The 19882-nt window shown below is 34.4% G+C and overlaps 1 protein-coding gene across 2 annotated transcripts in view, besides 1 other annotated feature; it reads right to left on the bottom strand.

Annotated features, from left to right (window-relative positions):
- HS2ST1 (heparan sulfate 2-O-sulfotransferase 1) overlaps window positions 1-19882 on the bottom strand; it is a 195348-nt gene that overhangs the window by 66298 nt on the left and 109168 nt on the right. The gene's annotated exons all lie outside the window — the stretch shown is intronic.
- Window positions 12632-12681: an enhancer, noted in NCBI's record as "active region_1285". NCBI's record gives its function as "activates an Ori minimal core promoter by ATAC-STARR-seq in GM12878 lymphoblastoid cells {active_cell/tissue: GM12878}" and the evidence as "EXISTENCE:reporter gene assay evidence [ECO:0000049][PMID:35858748]".

Here is a 19882-nt window from a genome sequence, read left to right as displayed (position 1 = left end):
TTTTCCAACAAGAAAGATGTTATTTCGGTTCCAAACAACCACACTTAAGGCAGGGTGCAGACATACATAGAATATAAGACAGGACTGTAACAATAAAGTCTTCAGTTACTTTTCACTTCTGGCTACATGAATATAGTAAACAAGATACCTCCAGCAGTTGATTCTTGGGGATAAAAAATCCAATTACTATCTTGCTTTACAATAAATTTAGAATAAAATGTTTTGTTGATTATTAAATCAGGTAAAGCATAAGGTACTTTAAACTGATTATTTGGTCTCATAAAATGATTCAATCTAAAGGCTTAATTTAGAGCCACCTACAAAATGATCCTGTATTCTACATTGTTAATCTTAAAAGTTTAATAGTTCTTAAACTTACATAATTTATTATTTTTTACCCAGAATAATCAATGTAGGACTAATTCTGATGAAATAAATCTAGATTATTTCCCCTCTCCATCAGCCCATCTCCCAATCAAACAGTACTTAAAATTATCACAAAGAACCTTTCTAATCACATTTATTTAACTTTGTAGTATATTTTGAATTAGAAGGCACAATTAATAAAACGGTTCTCTACATAGAAAGATTTGTTATAAGTGTCTCCTATACCAGATGTGTCTGTTATTTCTCTGGCAAAATCTAATCTTGAAACGGCTGGGGGAAAGGAAGAATAATAGCATGGCTCCTCTTCAGCTTCACTTTAAATGGCTACCATGATTAGAGAGGGCTGGGTTTCAGACATGCTTTATAGGAAGCATGTAGTCATTTAACTTAATTTTATGTGGTGTAAAGCTCGTAAACAAAAAGTCAGAAAAGTAAATTCCTATGAGTCTTATACTTTTTACAAAGTATTTCAGTTAACATATTCCCAGACATACAGAATTACAAAATATCGCCAATTATAATCTATCCAATGATGACTGTGGAAATGTATAATTTCCAGTGATAATTTATCATCTTGATATTCTGGAAACACTAAATAATACAGGATCTTTTCATCAGGAAGTCAATTTTTTCTGAAAGAAAAGGGCCTTTATGTTTAGTTATGCCTCGCAGGCATTGCAAAAGAGTACTTCCTCTCTCTAGTTAGCACAGTGAAGGTATATCTATCCAAAAAATATCAAGAGGAGGTATATATAAAAAGGAGATGGGTTTTTCATTTTTATTTTTAAAATAATGGCTTCCTTAAAAAGCAATACCAACTAAAAATGGATTAAGGACTGAAACAAAGGACCCAGAACTGTAAAATTCCTAGAACATAGGGGGAAATTTTTATTACATGGGTCTTGGCAACGATTTGTTGGCTATGACATCAAAAGCACAGTCAAAAGAAGAAAAAACAGACAAGGAGCATGACTGTATCAAACTAAAAAGTTTCTGCATAGCAAAGGAAACAATGAAATGGCAACCTACAAGATCGGAGAATATATTTGCTAACCACATATCTGATAAGGGGTTAACAGCTGTAACATATAAGAAACTGCTATAACTCAATAGCAAAAAACTCCAAATATCTCAATTAAAAAATGGGCAAAGGACTTGAATTGACACTTCTCCAAAGAAGACACACAAATGACTAACAGGTATAGGAAGATGCTGGACATCACTAACCATCAGGGAAATGCATATCCAAACAATAATAAGGAAAATGCTTTTAAAAAAAATTAAACACAAAACTAACATATGATCTACCAATCCCACTTCTGGGATATGGTAGTTCTGTGTTTAATTTTTTAAAAGAACTGAAGTCAGAATCTTTAAGAGATAGTGGCACTCCCATATGTACAATGAAGCATTGTACACAACAGCCAATATGTAAAAACAACTTTAATGTCCATCAACAGATGAATGGATAAAATGGATTTACTGTGTGATATACACACAGTAAAATATTATTCAGCCTTTTAAAAGAATGAAATTCCATCGTATGCAACAACACAGATTAACCTTGAGAACATTATGCCAAGTGAAATAAGCCAGTCACAGAAGGACAAATACTGCATGCCTCCACTGATGAAGTGTCTAAAGTAGTCAAACTCATAGATGCAGAAAGTAGAATGATGGTTGCCAGGAACTGAGGTGGGGAAGCAGTTGCTGTTAATGTGTATAAAGTGTCAGTTATGCAAGATGAAGTTCCAGAGGTCTGCTGTACAACACTGTGCTTAAAGTTGTGTTAACAATAATGTCCTATACACTTAAAATTTTGTTAAGGGCGGGGGAAGGTTCATAACATTTTACATTTAATTTTTAAAATTTAATTTATTTCTTCTTTTTTTAAATTTATATATACTTTTTGAGACAGGATCTCATTCTGTAACCCACACTGGAGTGCAGTGGCATGATCAGAGCTCACTGCAGCATCAAAAACCTGGCTCAAGCAATCCTCCCACCTCATCCTCTGGAGTAGCTAGGAGTACAGGTGCACACTTTTTTTTTTTTTGTTTTTTTTTTTTTTTAGTAGAGACAAGGTCTCGCTATTTTTCCCAGATTGTATTGCTTCTTTTATTTGGGAATTTAATGTGGTCTTCCTTTCCTCTCCCCTTTTCTCCTTCTCCCCTTTAAAAAGTAAACAACAATCAGAATGATGCTAAATAAAACACTGATGTAAAAACTGTCCAATGGATAAAAGGTAAAAAATGAATCTAATTTGAAAAATTATTTAATCTTTAAGACAGAGGAGAGCTTAGTGGTTATTGACATCAAAATGAATCTGATGGGTAAATTCCTTCAATAACCCTGAAAAGTGGTTGCCCTTCTTTTTCCTTCAGTAACACCAATGGTGGGGAACTCACTCTCCTTGAAGAGCTAACTAATTCTTGGAAATTGTACTACTTTCCACCTTTTACAGTTTTTTGAGGTGTCACAGAACATGCCTACTGGCTTTTTTCCCCCTGAGACACAGATATTCTGTGCTACCAAGTCTTCCTTTTTAAGGTTAATATTCCGGACTTTTTACTTAACTCTTGCCTATGTGCCTAATTACAGAAATAATGCTCTACTACTGCTAACATTCTATAAGCAGAACGCTTGGATCTGCCAAGGTATTCTTGAGGTTCTGAAAGGGCCACAGAACATTATTCTTCTCACTTCCTTCTAGTACCTGTCCTCACCTGGATAAGTTATGCCTAGCCTGCAAAGCACCTTGGCGGAGTCAATGCCCCATGCCCCATGCACCACAAGCTCCCTGCAAAACCCAGTCAGAAGAGTCTTCAGACTGGTGAATACAGGCATCATTTAAAGATATAGGTACTTCAAAGACGGGCAGAATGGGCATATTAGAAGGAAAATGGATACTTCTAAAAATATCACAGTAACAGAATGAGAAAAGAATACAGGTCCTATATCAAGCAAAAATCCTCAGACTGAGACCTTGAAAGGCAAAATCTCTCTGTTCAGGGAGCGGGGAGGGGGAGACAGAGATGGAAATTCAGTCCTCAATTCTTGCTCAATTATATCAGAATAAGGAGGTATTATTTCTAATTTTCCACAAACATGAGACTCTTATTTCTTAAAATCTCTAAACTGTCCTCTGTGGGGAAAAATGCTTTTCAAGCATTTGCCTATGAACTTTCCATTATTTTTCATTCCAAAGAAATCTGCTTGTTTTCCATTAATGGATCTATTAAAAGGAAACTACTTTTGTTCCTTCTTAATCTTCTTTTCTAATATAGTAAGAAGAACAACATTCAATCCCTCAGATTTTTTTAAAGCCTACAATGGGATTTTAAAATGCCACTAATTAGACTACACAAATTAGACACTACTTGCATTGAATACTGTCACTCCATACACCATCAAAAACTGTAAGAAACTTCCTTTTTCAGCTACCATCTCTTGAGCGACTCCTATGCTTTGGCACCTAGTCTAGAAACTTTACGTATGGTATCTTCCACCTACCTGTTTAATTAGTTACTATTGGTCAAACTTTAAAGATGAAGCAACTGAAGCTCTGTGAGGATAAAACCATAGCCAGTGCCACAGAGCCAGTAAGTGGTAAAATCAGGATGTCACCCAGTTCTGATATTCACTGAATAGATTACTGAACTGATATAAGGATAAATGGATGACACCTGTCCTGGATATTTAATGACAGATAATAAAAATCCAGAAATTCATTAAGCAAGTAATAATAATGAATAAGGTTGTTATACTTCAACCTCTTCTGCATTCAGAGATGGATGTGTTAGATGCTCATTCCTATTCTTTTGCAGTGGGGCTGGAATGCACCAGGACAGAACTCAATAGCTGAGGATCCCAATGAAACTGAGAGGAAGAAAAGATAAGCAGAGGCACATCAGGAAGCAAACTAACAGTCCAGAATAGCAAAGATACCTATGGTCCACACCGCGCCCTGACCGGTTCTTAGTGAACAACTGGTTATTGGTAATATTGCTGAGGTAGCATTGGCTGGTGGTTTAGATGGTCTCTTTCCAGAACTGCCAAGATACTTTAACTTTTAGCAAGCCCTGTATTTCTGTCATCCAACTGGCCAGAAATTCACCACAGGAAGAGGCTGTGGAAAGTCATGAACTGCCATTTTGAAAACTAGAACCCTTACAATTACCAAAGGAGAGGTGCTTTATTACTAACCCACGTATCATTATTACCTTCCATATCAGTACAGGGTTCAGCCAAAGTTGTCATTTGGCTCATGATTGTTTTTACTAATTTATTTTTTCCATATACATGGGAAATTTAAAAATACTTTTCAATTGTATACAATAGAAATATTAAAATTATAGATTACTTTTTTAAAAAAACGGCAATATACTCAAAGCTTCAAATGTGAAAAGGTATTTTTAAAAAGGTATGTAAAAAGTTTCTCTGTCAGAATCCATTTTTTTTTTAGTTTCTCTCTTGTTCTGTATCTATCTGCCCAATTCCCAACCTTCACAACACATAATCACTATTATTAGTTTTTGGTTCAGAGATCACTTCACGTATATGTAAGTTAAAACAAATACTTCATTTTTACACAAATATTAGGACAATATGTACTTTGCTTTGTCTTGCCTTTATGTAACTTAAATAGATCTTCAAGATCTTTCTACATCAAAACATAAATACCTTCCTTGTTCCTTTTTAAAGCAGTACAGTAATTCACAATATGAATGCAAATTCTAATTTTTGCAGGACTTTCCAGAATAACTTCTGTTACATACAACATGCTTAGCTTTAGTTTTATAATCCTTAATTTTATTGAATTTGAATTTCCATTTGACATTTAATTTTGAAAATGTTTTACAACAGTACCCTAAATGTACTTGTTGGAATAATATACAACAGTTTAATTATTTACATGTATATTCAGTTTCTAGGATGGCATCCCCAAACTCAAAATAAAATGTATTGACACAGTTAAATATGGCATGTACTTAAAATAATTATTTCAGTGGTAGTGATAGACTTTGCCCATCTGTGCATCCATCCATTTATTTCACTGCTTTCCTCAGTAGTTATAAGATTATGAGATAACTGCTGATTGTTAAGAACACAGCATATTGTCATAGAACAGACCAAATCCACCTTGATAAAACAGATGGTTGTGACCTAACTAAATAAAATTTGACAAGTTTTAAAAACTATAATATTAAGTAAGAGTCTACAGTCATTTATGACTAAAAAACTATTGGTTAAAGTACATTAATCATTAACAATATAAAGATTTTCACTGTCATATGCCATGCAATTTTATTTCTAGGCACCTACTAGAAAAACATTTGCTTGAATGTATAAGAAAATATGAAGAAAAATGTTCACAGATGAACTGCTCATAACTGCAGACAATCTAAAATCTGTTAGAGATATATTATAGATATATGCTACATAGCAGTTAAAAGAATGAACTACGTCTGGAAGTATCAAGATGGCTAGATATCAGAATTATTGAGTGAAAAAATGCAAGTTGTAGAATACATTCACTATGATAACCATCTCTTCAAATAAAAAATTTAAAAATGTATGGTTACACAAATGAGTAAAAATACCAAAAAAGTACTAGGAACATACATACCCAATTTATAATAGGTTACTTTATACAAGACAGAGGATCAGAATTGGAGATGGTGGTAAAAAAAAAAAAAATTCAACTTTATTTGAAATATTCTATTTTTAAAGACATATTATTGATGTAATTTTAGAAGGATAGCTAAATATGCAAAAATATTAATGTTTGATAATTCTGACATAACCTTTGGACTTTTCTGTAATCTTTTAATTTCTAAAAATTAAAATATATATATTAAAAGGCCATTTATTGTACAGATTTATTGGGCCATATAATTTTATAACTACAACCAAGTAGAATAAATGAAAACATTTTAACTTATGCTTTTCAACAGCAAGATACACTGAGTAATTATAATAGTTATCCAACTCATAAACTCACCAAACTTCAATGGCTGTTTCACATCACAGGGAAATATTTTTTCACTTTTTTAGCAAAACAGAACAAGATATGCAGAATTCACAGTATTATAGAATTACATATTAAACATTCACATACTACTTTCACCACCAGAAGAAAAGCATATTTCAATGACGATAAAGCAAAAGTTGGGAGCAGATTAAAAAAAAAAGTCAGCACCCATGAATGTGATAAATCAGCAAAACAAATGAATTGATTTATGATATTCACTTCGTTAGAACAGGAAAAAGAACCCTAGCACTTTATTACCTAAGGTTTAATTTAACAAATACTATTGGGAAATGTAGTGATATATGCAAGTGAATGTTCCAGATATTTGGAGCTTATCCTTTTAAGCATCAAAACCTTTCAGTTATCCATGTTGATGACAATCTCTCAGAAAGGACATACTTCCCTCAGTTTTAAAATACATGTATTGAACATAACCAAGGTTTTCCTTGAAAATGTGTGGGTCAGCATTCATTCATTCATTCAGCAAATGAGAACTGTCTTCAAAGAGTGTGCAATGTTGACATTGTCATCCTGATATCAGTTTGGTCAAGGTAATTTTACAATTAGTACACCAACTGAATTAAAAATAAAATTCTACAAAATTGGAAATATCTAAACACCTTTTCACTTCATTCCAGCATATCTTTTATTTTTTCCCTACACAAATATACTAGCCAAACTGTTACATTCCTATAACCTAGTCCATGTTTTCTCATCTTTGAGTCTTTGCTCAGTATTCATTTCACTTGGAATATCCTCCCTCCAATTGCTGTCAAAAAACCTATTCATCCTTCAAAGCCCATCTCAAATCTCAACTATAATATGAATAGTATTTCTTATCTTCCCAATTAAATTAACAGTGCTTTAAAGTCTTTTGGTCTCCCAGTGTGGCAATTCCTCAAGGATCTAGACCCAGAAATACCATTTGACCCAGCAATCCCATTACTGGGTATATACCCAACGGATTATAAATCATGTGCTATAAAGACACATGCACATGTATGTTTACTGCAGCACTGCTCACAATAGCAAAGACTTGGAACCAACCCAAATGCCCATCAATGATAGACTGGATAAAGAAACTGTGGCACATATACACCATGATGTGGCCATAAAACAGGATGAATTCATGTCTTTTGCAGGGACATGGATGAAGCTGGAAACCATTCTCAGCAAACTAACAAGAACAGAAAACCAATGTTTTCACTCATAAGTGGGAGTTGAACAATGAGAACACATGGACACAGGGAGGGGAACATCACACATCGGGGCCTGTCAGGGGGTGGAAGACTAGAAAAGGGATAGCATTAGGAGAAATACCTATTGTAGATGATGGGTTGATGGATGCAGCAAACCACCATGGCACGTGTATACTTAACGTAACAAACCTGCAGGTTTTGCACATGTATCCCAGAACTTAGAGTATAGTAATAATTAAAAAAAAAAAAAAGTCTTTCGTCTTCTCTGAACAACCTGTTTTAATTCTTAAACAACAATACTGGGAGGTAAAGATTTACACAACAAATACTAATTTATTTCAAACTAATGGGTCATACTTAGGATACTTTCTTATAAAATAAAAATAATACCAAACTTGCAAGGTTATTGTGGAATGTATTATGTACAGAAGATGTCTATATCAATGCTGGATACACAGTAGATGCATAAGAAATTGACAAATATTATGGTCTACACTATAAGTGAAAAATCAAGTCAAGAGGCTGCATACTAAAAATTATTATGATAACACATTCTCCCATGGGCATGTACAAACATCAGAAAATCTTCTAGGCCATGAACTCAACTATGTGATATCTCCAAGAGAAAAAAGTAACTTAGAACAGGACTCATTTATTCTCCCTGAGTACATGAAAAGTCTGAATCCTAAAGAAGAATAAGTTTTTCAAAGAAAGATATATTTAAAAGAATAATTAGAAGTACTACTTACAATACCGATAGGTTAAAAATTGTTCATAGGTTAATTAGTTCCTACTGCTGCTGTAACAAATGACGACAAAATGACTAGCTGATAGGAAAACAAATTTATTATCTTAAGAGTTCTAAAGGTCAGAAGTCCTAAAATCAAGGTGTCAGCTAGGTTATGTTCCTTCTGGAGGATCTAGAAGAAAATACATTCCCTAAAATCCTTTTCTAGCTCCTGGGAGCCACCTGCATTCATTCCTTGGCTCATGGACTGAGCCTCCATCCTCCAGCTGCACAGCATCTTAAAATCTCTCTCTCACTGACTAAGACTCCTGCTTCTGTCATTACATTTCTTTAGGACTCTGATTCTCTTGCCTCCCTCTTATAAGGATACTTGAAATTACATTGAGACTACCTACATAATCCAGGATAATCGCCCCATCTCAAGATCCTTAATTTAATCACACCTACAAAGTCCTTTTTGCCATATAAAGTGACATAATCACAGGTTCTGGGGATTAAGATATGGACATATTTAAGGAACCATTATTTAGCTGAAAACAATGGGCATATCTGGCTCTTTAATTTTATAAAGATTACTAATCCTATTACTCTTCAATTCAAAACTATTTTTTATTGTCTTTTAAAAGGGAAAGCTTCGTACATATACTTTACACTGTAACAGTTTCTCAACTGAGAGAATTTGAAAGGCTTTGAAACCTCAAGATTCTTTCAAAATGTGATTCTGATTTCCTAGAGCTCATTGTACTAGCTAGAGTACAATATTTGCATTTTCAAAAGTAGTTCGTTGAATGGTTCCATATTTACAAAACAAGGGTAATTTTAGTGAATTATGTAAAATCTCACAGTGAAAAGAATTACTATAGCTTGAACAATAAAGTTATCAATCCATTGTTAATTTATTTTCTCCCCTCCAGAATCTGGGAAAACCACTTATAATAGTTACTCTGGAGACCACAGATCACAAAAAATTGAAGTGTGGTGTTGGGGAGACTTCAACTGCTTTAGAATGATTCTCCAAGTGTATACTGTAAATTTGCTATTCTCTTGTAATATTATATTTGCAATGTAAAAGAATTTACATTTTTGTTTGTCATGAAATAATAATTTACTGTGACCTTCCTCACTGGTATTTCATCAAAGCCATTCTCACCATTGATTCTATTTTTGTTTTGACACTTTGAAACAAATAAAAGGGTAGATGGTCTACTTATTTTTTAGACTTACCAAAGAACTATTACTACATCTTTATATTTAAAAATTAATAATCCTCAATATTTGCAAAATATTACTCATTAGACAATATGTTAGCTACTGTGTCTGAACTTCTAAACCAGTAAAACTGTAATTTTTCCATTCCTGTCCCTCATTAAGCTCATCATTGCTCACTGTGGTGGTATACTGTTATTCACTATAAGGAATTTTAAGTCAACAAAAGTCAAAGTATTATGCAAACTAAAAAATTTACCACTTTAAGGCCGGGGGCGGTGGCTCACGCCTGTAATCCCAGCACTCTGGGAGGCCGAGGCTGGTGGATCACCTGAGGTCAGGAGTTTGAGACCAGTCTGGCCAACATAGTGAAAACCCTGTCTCTACTAAAAATACAAAAATCAGCTGGACGTGGTGGCAGGCGCCTGTAATCCAACTACTGGGGAGGCTGAAGCAGGAGAATTGCTTGAACCCGGAAGGCGGAGGTTGCAGTGAGCTAAGATCTTGCCATTGCACTCCAGCCTGGGTGACAAGAGTGAAACTCAGTTTAAAAAACAAACAAACAAACAAAAAAACAAAAAAACACTACTTTAAAAATTTATATAGAAGAATTAGAGAAAGAAGATAATTTCAGGTTCTTACTATGGAGCTGCTGTGAAGGCATTTCATACACTGCACAGAATCTAAGTAATGTAGTTATTATGTGACATGGTCTTTGAACTCTAACAGAAATTCCGTATTTCTTTCTAGCAAAGATTCCTCATTACCTAATGGGGTTCTTGGAGCTCATCCATTCTAGTTCACCAACTATGTTTTGATAATTCCCTTGAGGAATATTTATGAATTAATGGAATCATGTCTAAAATATACTGCAGTGGGGAAAGGTACAGATGGAAAAAGATTAGACATGGGTCAGTAATTTCTGTAGCCTGGTGATAAATACGTAGGGATATATTTTACTATTCTACTTATGTATATTTTGAAAATATCCATAACAATTCATAAATATATATAATCTCAGGTTCTACAATTTATTAAAACATTTAAACAATGGCATTTATCATTATTATTTTTTAATCTGGAGGTTCATCATGATTGGAAGATGGGGTTTACAACACACTAAATGAATTAGGAAAAACCAAAGACTAAGAATGAGTCAGATGAAAGGGAAGAAAACTATTTTTTGCAAAGGACAGTAATCACACATGGTCTAACTGAGTCAGCTGTTTACCCAGAAAATCTGTGGAGTCAACCCATCATATAGCCTATTCAAAACTTTTAATTATACTGGGGTTCCATATATACATTTCATAGTTTTTTTAGGCCAACAATATCTGTTATTAGGCTTACCTTCACTGTCCAAATAATTGAAAAAAGAACAATGCATTTTTACTAAGAACAAGAACTCAAGGTAGATAATAAGCAGGACTATGAATAAGGAGAATCCTGATTACATTGTAAATTAATCTCTGATAGTAAAGAGCTGTAACTGCTGATCTGGAACAATCTGTGAATACTTGTCCTGAGGTACTTTTTAAAGCAAATAATTTCCTATAATATTCTATAAATGAAATCATAATAATAAAAAAGGGAGTTTCAAACGTATTGAGAGAAATCAAAATTGACCTTAATTTATTTTGACAGTGGGGGTTCAGAATGAACTTTGTATTAAATCAGCAGTATAATATTCAGGTCTCTTTTTCGTCCTTTAACAAATAAAGTTATACAAGGCTGGGAAAGAGACCTGACACAAACACATATCCAAAATAGATTAATTCTCACCCAACACTGTTTTTAATACTACTGTCTTCAAAAATAAAGGTTACAAGTTAAAAGTTTCACATCATACCATGAATTTTAAATGTTTTTCTATAATAGTCAAAACTTTCTCGTGAGCCTGGTATTATCAGTCTACTCATAAACAATCCTTTCCATATGAATTATTTGCAGAACAGTGTTTACTGATTAACTGATATATTTAAGAGCAATTATTTTCTTAATTTTCTTCAGCTACCACTATTGAAGTCCTATTAAATATCACATGGAATTTTTTACATTTTAAAACTGCCCTGCAATCATTTTTAATAATTAGCCATGTGTAATTCAATTATCTCTTGCAACAATAAAGAAAGAATGGTGCACTGAACCAGTAAATTATGCCATAAAATATTAGTCATAATATGGTGGTTGAATGAAACATTTTTCCATTTTAGAAGACTGGCACCTAAACATTTCATTTTTTCTTTAAAAAATTGTCACCAACATTTTTAACCTTCCAAATTCTTCCATTTCCATTATCTAAATAACAACCTTCTGTTTATTATAATGTTCAGTAGTATTGCAATAACATTGTAGATCAGCAGATTTTAAACAACCATATATTATATATTCAGTCGCAGAATTTAAGAACTAGGAAAGAACTCAAAGAAGTGCTACTCCAACTGCTGGTCTGAAACCAAATAAGGAGCTTGTACCAAAGTGTAAATTAAATTTACTATTTCCTTAATCAATAGTCTTGCTACCAAAAAAAGAATGCAACCAAACTAAATAGCACACTAGTGCTTTAGCTGATTTACATTTTGGCACAAGCTAGCTGCACATGTACTTGAGGACTGGCAATAAACAGTTGGTATATTGGCAGCCAGTCCGTGGACCACACTCTGAGTAGAATGAATCTTATAAATAATCTAGTTCAGTGGTTCTCAACGATGACTCCCAACATGAGAATCATCCAGAAAACTTTAGAAAACATGTATATCTGAGTTTTGCCTCTAGAGACTCTGATTTAGTTGGTCTGGAATAGGGCTGCAGCAGCAGTATTTCCACGGATATAGGCCTATCCCATTTTGGAGATAAGAACACTGAGACTTAGCCAGGTGACGTGGCACATGCCTGAAATCCCAGCACTTTGGGAGGCTGAGGCGGGCAGATTGCTTGAGGCCAGGAGCTCAAGACTAGCCTGGGAAACATGGCAAAACCCTGTCACCACAAAAAAATACAAAAATTAGCTGGGTGTGGGGGCGTGAGTCTATGGCCCCAGCTACTCAGGAGGCTGAGGTGAAAGGATCGCTTAACCTCAGGAGATCAAGGCTTCAGTGAGCTGAGATCAGGCCACTGTACTCCAGCCTGGGCAACAGAGCAAGACTCCATCTCAAAACGAAACACAAAACAATACTGAGACTTAAAGAACCAAACAACTTAGTCTCAGTTTACAGAACCTGAGAATAAAACAACTGACTCTCAGTATAGTTTTGCTTTGCATAATACCCCATAATAAGAATTAGTTAAAATTCTTACAGTCCTACTCTGTATTCAGGACACTGGAAGAACAGAAATATTTGTCTGTGAAATTTTTTCTTTCTTATTATTCGAGTAAGAGACAAAGTAGAAAGAAAGCATTATATGGCTAAACTTAGATTAACTGAAGGATTAATCATATCACAATATACAAATAAATTTCTTTGTTACTTAGAAAAAATCTGGAAAGAAATATTACTAAGTCAAATACTCTGATTTCTTCAAAATACTGAATTAACTTATTTTTATTTCAAGTGGAGAGGCATGTGTGTGTGCGTGTGTGCGTGTGCATGCATGTCTGTGTATATGAATGAATGAGACAGGGTCTCACTCTGTCACCCAGGTTGGAGTGCAGAGGCATGATCATATCTCACTGTAACCTTGAACTCTTGGGCTCAAGCGATCCTCCTGCTTCAGCCTCCCAAGTATCTAGGACTACAAGCACACACCACCACACCTGACTAATTTTTACACTTTTTGTAGAGATAGGGTCTCCTATGTTGCCCAGGCTGGTCTTGAACTCCTGGCCCAAGATATCCTCCAGTGGATAGGTAATTTTATTTTTACAATTTGAAAAGATTCTGTGCACATAAAAGCCAAATGAACTTGTATATCTTTTTCTCCTAATTTAACGCACATGGTAAAACAGTCAACCAGCATATCCTGGTCAGTAACAAGAATGTGTTGGTTAGCTAAGGACCCCAGGGCTGTGTAATTTTTTTTAGCAAGTCCTACAAACTGGCAAAAACACAGATAAGAGCAAGCTGAAATTAATATTTGTAAGTGCTAGCGTGTTTTGCTTCTTCTGCATTTGAAAGGAAAACTGTATACAAATTTGCTTTCCTTTTTACCGAAATACCTTTCTTCTGGGCAAGAAACCAAAATAAGTAGTAAGCATACTATAGAGTCATACTCAATTCTACTCCTAAGACCAACACACTTAAACTTCGACTTTATCCATTTGTAAGTGTCCTTGAATATGTTTATTCACCTTCTGAAGCTTTGACTTCCTCATCTGGATAAATTTTTCTAGTCATTTTCCCTACCATCATCCTCCTGTCCTGCTCTAGCTAAATTAGGTACCTCTTCTTTTTGTTCTTGTATGAAAAGTATTTATTCCTGTAGATTTCACATAAGTCAAAACTCAGTATTGAGTATTAATTTTCCCATAGGAAAAAGAAACTGTACATGACATGGTGTGAGAGCACAAAAATCTATAATCGCTGCAACATTTTTGTTTTACTGTTGCCTTTTCTCAGCTTTATCACTAATATTTTGTACAATTTTGTCTCTCATTTAACATCAATTTGTTTGGTTTTCTTCACTACATTTTACCATAATTAACTTTTTCCCCAAAGTTACTGATTTCTGGGACAATATTTTTCAGAATTACTATTGACGCCCTGCTGAATGACATTAAGAAAAGATATAAAGACTTAAAATCAAACAAATGTTTAGAATAACAGTACAATAGTAACAGAAACCATGTGTAGAAATTCTAATGCAAAAAAAGAATAATTCACATGACACTATTAAAAGAAGGTGGTTATTTTTGACTGTTAAAACATTGCACCTATGTGGCAAAAGTGCCCATACATGGTTTATGACTCACATAATATTTTCTTTAGTCTGCTAATCTACTAAATTATATTAGGTATAATTCCTAATACTAAACCATCCCTGCATTCCAGGGATAAATGCTACTTGGTCCAGATTTATTATTTTAAAACACTGCTGGATTAGATTTGCTAATATTTATATAACTATTTATTAAAATATTAAGATAAAAAGATAACACTTGGGAAAGTTTGTTCCTCATGTCTAAAACTAAGTGCATCTGGTTATTTCAACCAGGAATAGAACACTAGGGCAAACTTTGTTTCACTACCTTTGTATAAAGTAGGCTCTGATTTCAGTAGAGATTAAAAACAAAAATCAGAAACTATACTTTTTAGAAGAAACTTATTTTTAGTACAAATATAATAACAGAACAGTGGCAGTAAATTTCAAAAATATCAGCTTTTCCGTTTTTACACTAGTCATTTCCTGTAATTCTTTTCAACTATCCAGTACCTGCTCTTTAGAAATTCCTTTAGGAATATGTTGCTATTCTCCCAAAATTTAGAGTTTGCAAAAACGTGTGTGTATACATGTATCTAACATATGGTATATACCCACTGTTAAAATATCCAAAATAAGGTTTTAATCCACTTTCTAATTTTCTACAGTTTATTCACAGCCTGGTAAATAAAACAATGTTGTCAGTCTCATGTGGGAAAACAGTGAGAAACGCTCTTTTAAAAAAACAGAATGTCCTCAACTGGCTATGCCAGCCACAAGAAAGAAAATGGTGCTATTTGTTGGGATACTCTTCAATGGGTACCCAAATTATTTTTTTTAAGACAGTAAAACTATTTTCTTCTCCCAGTAAAGTCTTTTGAAAACTAAGTAAAAAACATAAATTATTTGAAGGGCGATTGGAAGACCAGCAGGCTTCTCCCCTGGCTCTGAGTTGGCCTTGAGTCACCTTTGTGAGGATTTGAGTTTCTTGGCACACAGTTTAGAAATTGTGGCCCAGATGTACCTTAGATGGGAGTCTCAGTTTGGAGTTCTCCTGACATGAAAATCACTTGTCTAGTAGTGTACGTGAAATTGTCTACTTAAAGTAGTTACCCTCTATTGTTAGGCTAGAACTTGGTTTAAACTTTAAAATAAATCTTATGACAGACCTGTGAGACAGGAAAGGGAGGCAACAATTAATACCAGAAGATATCCAGATACAATCTAAGGTAGCATTTCTTAACATTTTAAAACTCTATGTCCCAGCCGGGCGTGGTGGCTCATGCCTGTAATCCCAGCACTTCGGGAGGCCGAGGCGGGCAGATCACTTGAGGTCAGGAGTTTAAGACCAGCCTGGCCAACATGGTGAAACCCCATCTCTATTAAAAAATACAAAAATCAGCCAGGTGTGGTGGCCCATTCCTGTTGTCCCAGCTACTAGGGAGGCTGAGGCAAAAGAATCTCTTGAACTTAGGAGGCAGAGGTTGGCAGTAAGCCAAGATCGTGCCACTGCATTCCAGTCTGGGTGACAGTGAGACCCTGTCTCAAAAAAAGAAAAAACATCTATGTCCCATTCTGATAAATATAAAAGCCTTTTTTTTGCCACCCTTCTCAGTTGAGAATCTGTAACTACTCACTCCCACCAGTTATCAAACCTTACTCATGTGGACTGTATTACAAAACATCATCTTTTTTATTTTCATTTTCCCAGTATAAAATTATGTGATAATGTTAAATATGCTTTTTCAAACTATACCACCACCTATTTTGATCTGCTGCTAGTTGAGGAAGAATAATTTGAGCTCTACATGCTATGAGTTCTCATTCAGATTTCTAAAATCATGCATTCCTCCTTTCTATGATTTTAAAACATGTTGTCCACTGTATGCTTCCTTCCCACTAATTGTTGGTAAAATGACTTTAATTATAGTGCTTATCTTATGAAACTCAAAGACAGTGAATAAGTTAGGGCATGAAATCACAGTAGTTTCATTATGCAATTATCTTTATTTGATAAAAAGAAAGTGGATACCAAATAGGGTGTGGAAGCCTCTCATAAGAAAAAGTAACAGTTGGACAAAGAAGGGAATAACACAGGAAGCTGCACAGTGCTTAAAAAGTGACACTGCTATTCTAATGGTATTTCAAAACCAAAAATCTGTACTACTCTCAACTACTGTTAACTTACTCATATTTTCAGGTAGTTAAAAATATGAAGAAATTGTTTCTATACATACAACAGTCTGCTTCAGACTATTACCAACATGTATTACAATGTTATGGAGGGTTAATTATGATTAACATAAATTAGAAAAACCAGTTGACTTTAAATTTCACTATTATAATCAATATCTTAATGAATGGGTCCCCTTACAATTCAGGATATTTTAATCAAGTTTTTTTTTCTTCCCATCAATAGTGTTTATAATCAAGTTTTCTGATATTTATATTTAATATCTTCTTTTTTTAAGCTGGTAATTGAAGACCCTAGTTTTATGTTGCCATTCATCCAGAGGCTGTAGTACAGGCTTCACACATCTAAAGTTGGAAAATAGCAGCAAAAAGTCTACCTGTGAAATGCCAATGAACTTAGGGCATAGAATTTAAACCTTGTAACTAATGAGATGAAAGGAAACATCAAAAAGAACTCCTATTAAGAAACTCTGCCAATATATCCCGTTTTTTATATAATTAGATATTTCCTATTTAACAAAAACTATAACCAAAGTATAAATGTTGAATAATTTTATAAAATGCTCAGAATATTTTCATAATGTAAAACCTTACCTCCCAAAATATTTTAAAGGTATTAAGATTACTTACGAACATTTATTTAACTTCTATAAATCACTGCAGTGCTGTGTGTGACATAATTTACCTAATGCCTGCACTCAGACAAAAGAAAAGATGTTTTAAGAGTATGATCCTACCATATTTTTACCAAGGTTGCATGCTAAAGCATGCTCTTAGAATAATTACAAGTATTTCTCATCAGAACCCATGAACGTATCTCAGTGAAGGAAGGGGCCAATAAACATTGGTGACTTCACTGGGAACTGTATAACTACCAAAATCGAATGAACATATCTAGTTGTAACAGAGGTGTGGGGATGTCTTAGTTACGTCTGCACATTTGCTGTGAATACTAGTATCTTTTAAAAAAATAATTTGCAAAAATATCAAACTATATTTAATCAAAAATACAGTTGCAATCTATTGGCTCACTTTAGCAAAGAAGAATAAGAATATATTTTTTTAACACAGTATCTTTTAAATCATAGAAACAGCCTCAGCTCTACAAGTCCACCCTGCTTTAACTGCAAGAAACTGAAGCCACACTAGCAATTTTACTCAGTAACAATAAACATATGACTGCAAATATTTCAAATTTAATTTTTAATTCATGTTACATTCTGCAAATCTTAATTCCTGGAAGAATCACATGCAATAAAGAAGGAAAAGGTTTCCTAGAGATTCATGAGGGTTTATATCAAATTTTCAGCAAGAGTTGGGGGTTGTGGGGAGAAAAGCAAATTATGTGGAATTCTTAGTGAACTCAGTCATCCTTTCTGAAAGGAACACATCTTAAATTATTGATGGAAAGTATATGTACACGCAAATTCCTTCTAGACAAAAACATTTTAAAATGCAAATTTTCTATATGAAAAATACATAAATTTGGTGTTAAAATATGAGATATTCTACACAGATGTCTCTGTGCATTTGTCAAGCTATTGTGTCTTAATTCCAAATTTACCCTTTTATACTCTGCTTTGTGATCCTAGGGCTGAGGATCTGAAAACTGTATTTCCCATTTGCCATCTGGCTTCCTGCTAGGTTCTGCCAATAAGGAACACTAGAGGGAGACTAGAAAGCATGACAAATGTGTTCCCTGTTTACTTGATATTGCTGTAGGTGTCCTACAAGCAACAATACTTTGCCCTTGGCCACAACTGTTGGGTTCCAGGTTCAAGTTTCATACTAATTCTTTACAGGTAGCAACAGCCGCCAGGCAGGACCATCTCCTCAGGTCTTTGAGTCCCAGTCTGCAGGTCCCCTGTTCTTCACTTCTCCAGTTCCAGAAGTGTTAGCTGCTTTCAGCAGTTATTATCACTCAGTTACCTCAGAGCTCTCACTTTTGCTCATTCAATCCTCTGACACCTATGTAACCAATTCTCTATGTTATAGTCCCTCACTGAAATGCATAGTGAATTTCTGTTTTACTGAAGGAATCATGGCTGTTACAGTCTCTACTGTGGTAGTCGACCTTAGATAATTAAATGCAAATCATCTCTTAATAATTAAAACATACATTAAGCATGATTGTTATATAGGCATTTAATAAACAATTTCTCACAATTCAGAAATTATATTTTTGGTATAATACAATTGAAACACAGATGTATAAATGTTTCTTACTTAAAATAGGTAAAATAAAACTTAGGAAATATCAGGTTGAAAAAGGACCTTAGAAACCAAATACCATATACCTTCTACCTAAAAAAGTATTCCTATTTCAATGGCAATTGTCACCATTTATTGAGGGCTTAACATAACATGAAGTAGGGTACTTTACCTTTTCTCAATCCTTACAGCAATCCCATGAGATACATTTAATTATCCCTATTTCATAGTTAAGGAAATTTAAAAGGTTATGTTTCTTGCTCAAGGTCACAATAGTCCCTAAGTGGCAGAGCACTCAAACCTAATCTGCCTGATTCTTTCTTTTCCTGTTTTTTTTTTTTTTTTCTTTGAGACGGAGTCTCACTCTGTCGCCCAGGCTGAAGTGCAATGGCACAATCTCGGCTCACGGAAGCCTCCACCTCCTGGGTTCAAGAGATTCTCCTGCCTCAGCCTCCTGATTAGCTGGGATTACAGTCGTGCACCACCACGCCATCTAATTTTTGTATTTTTAGTAGAGACGGGGGTTTCACCATATTTATCAGGCTGGTCTTGAACTCCTGACCTCATGATCTGCCTGCCTTGGCCTCCCAAAGTGCCTGGGATTATAGGTGTGAGCCACTGCGCCCAGCCAGATCTGCCTGATTCTTAAAAATGACTACTGATCTCTCAATTTCACCATGCTTCCTCCTTCCATTAATCCTGATAGCAATCTCTGCATAACCACCACCAAAAGTCTTTAAGACACTGCTCTTTAAATTGTTAATACCTATTGGTATGCTCTTATATTAAGCTGAAATCTGTCTCCCTATATCTTCTACATCCATTAGTTCTATTTTTGTCCTTTGGAGAAACACAGAACTTAAATAATGCCTCCTAATGCCAACTCTGCTCTTTGTCCTGTTAGCCCTTTCTCCAATGGCTCTTCATCAGTTGTTTTCTACTATGGATATGTCCCAGTGGCGGCATGACCTCAATAGATATATTTAAATCAAAATCTGAAAATGCAGTAATGTTCTAAGCATAAGTCATTGCTTGAAAAAAAATAGT

Source organism: Homo sapiens, chromosome 1 (genome assembly GCF_000001405.40).
Source record: "Homo sapiens chromosome 1, GRCh38.p14 Primary Assembly".
In the NCBI taxonomy this organism is placed as follows: Eukaryota; Metazoa; Chordata; class Mammalia; order Primates; family Hominidae; genus Homo; species Homo sapiens.
The sequence above is the reverse complement of the archived record's forward strand: the minus strand, read 5'-3'. Positions and strand labels throughout refer to the sequence as shown.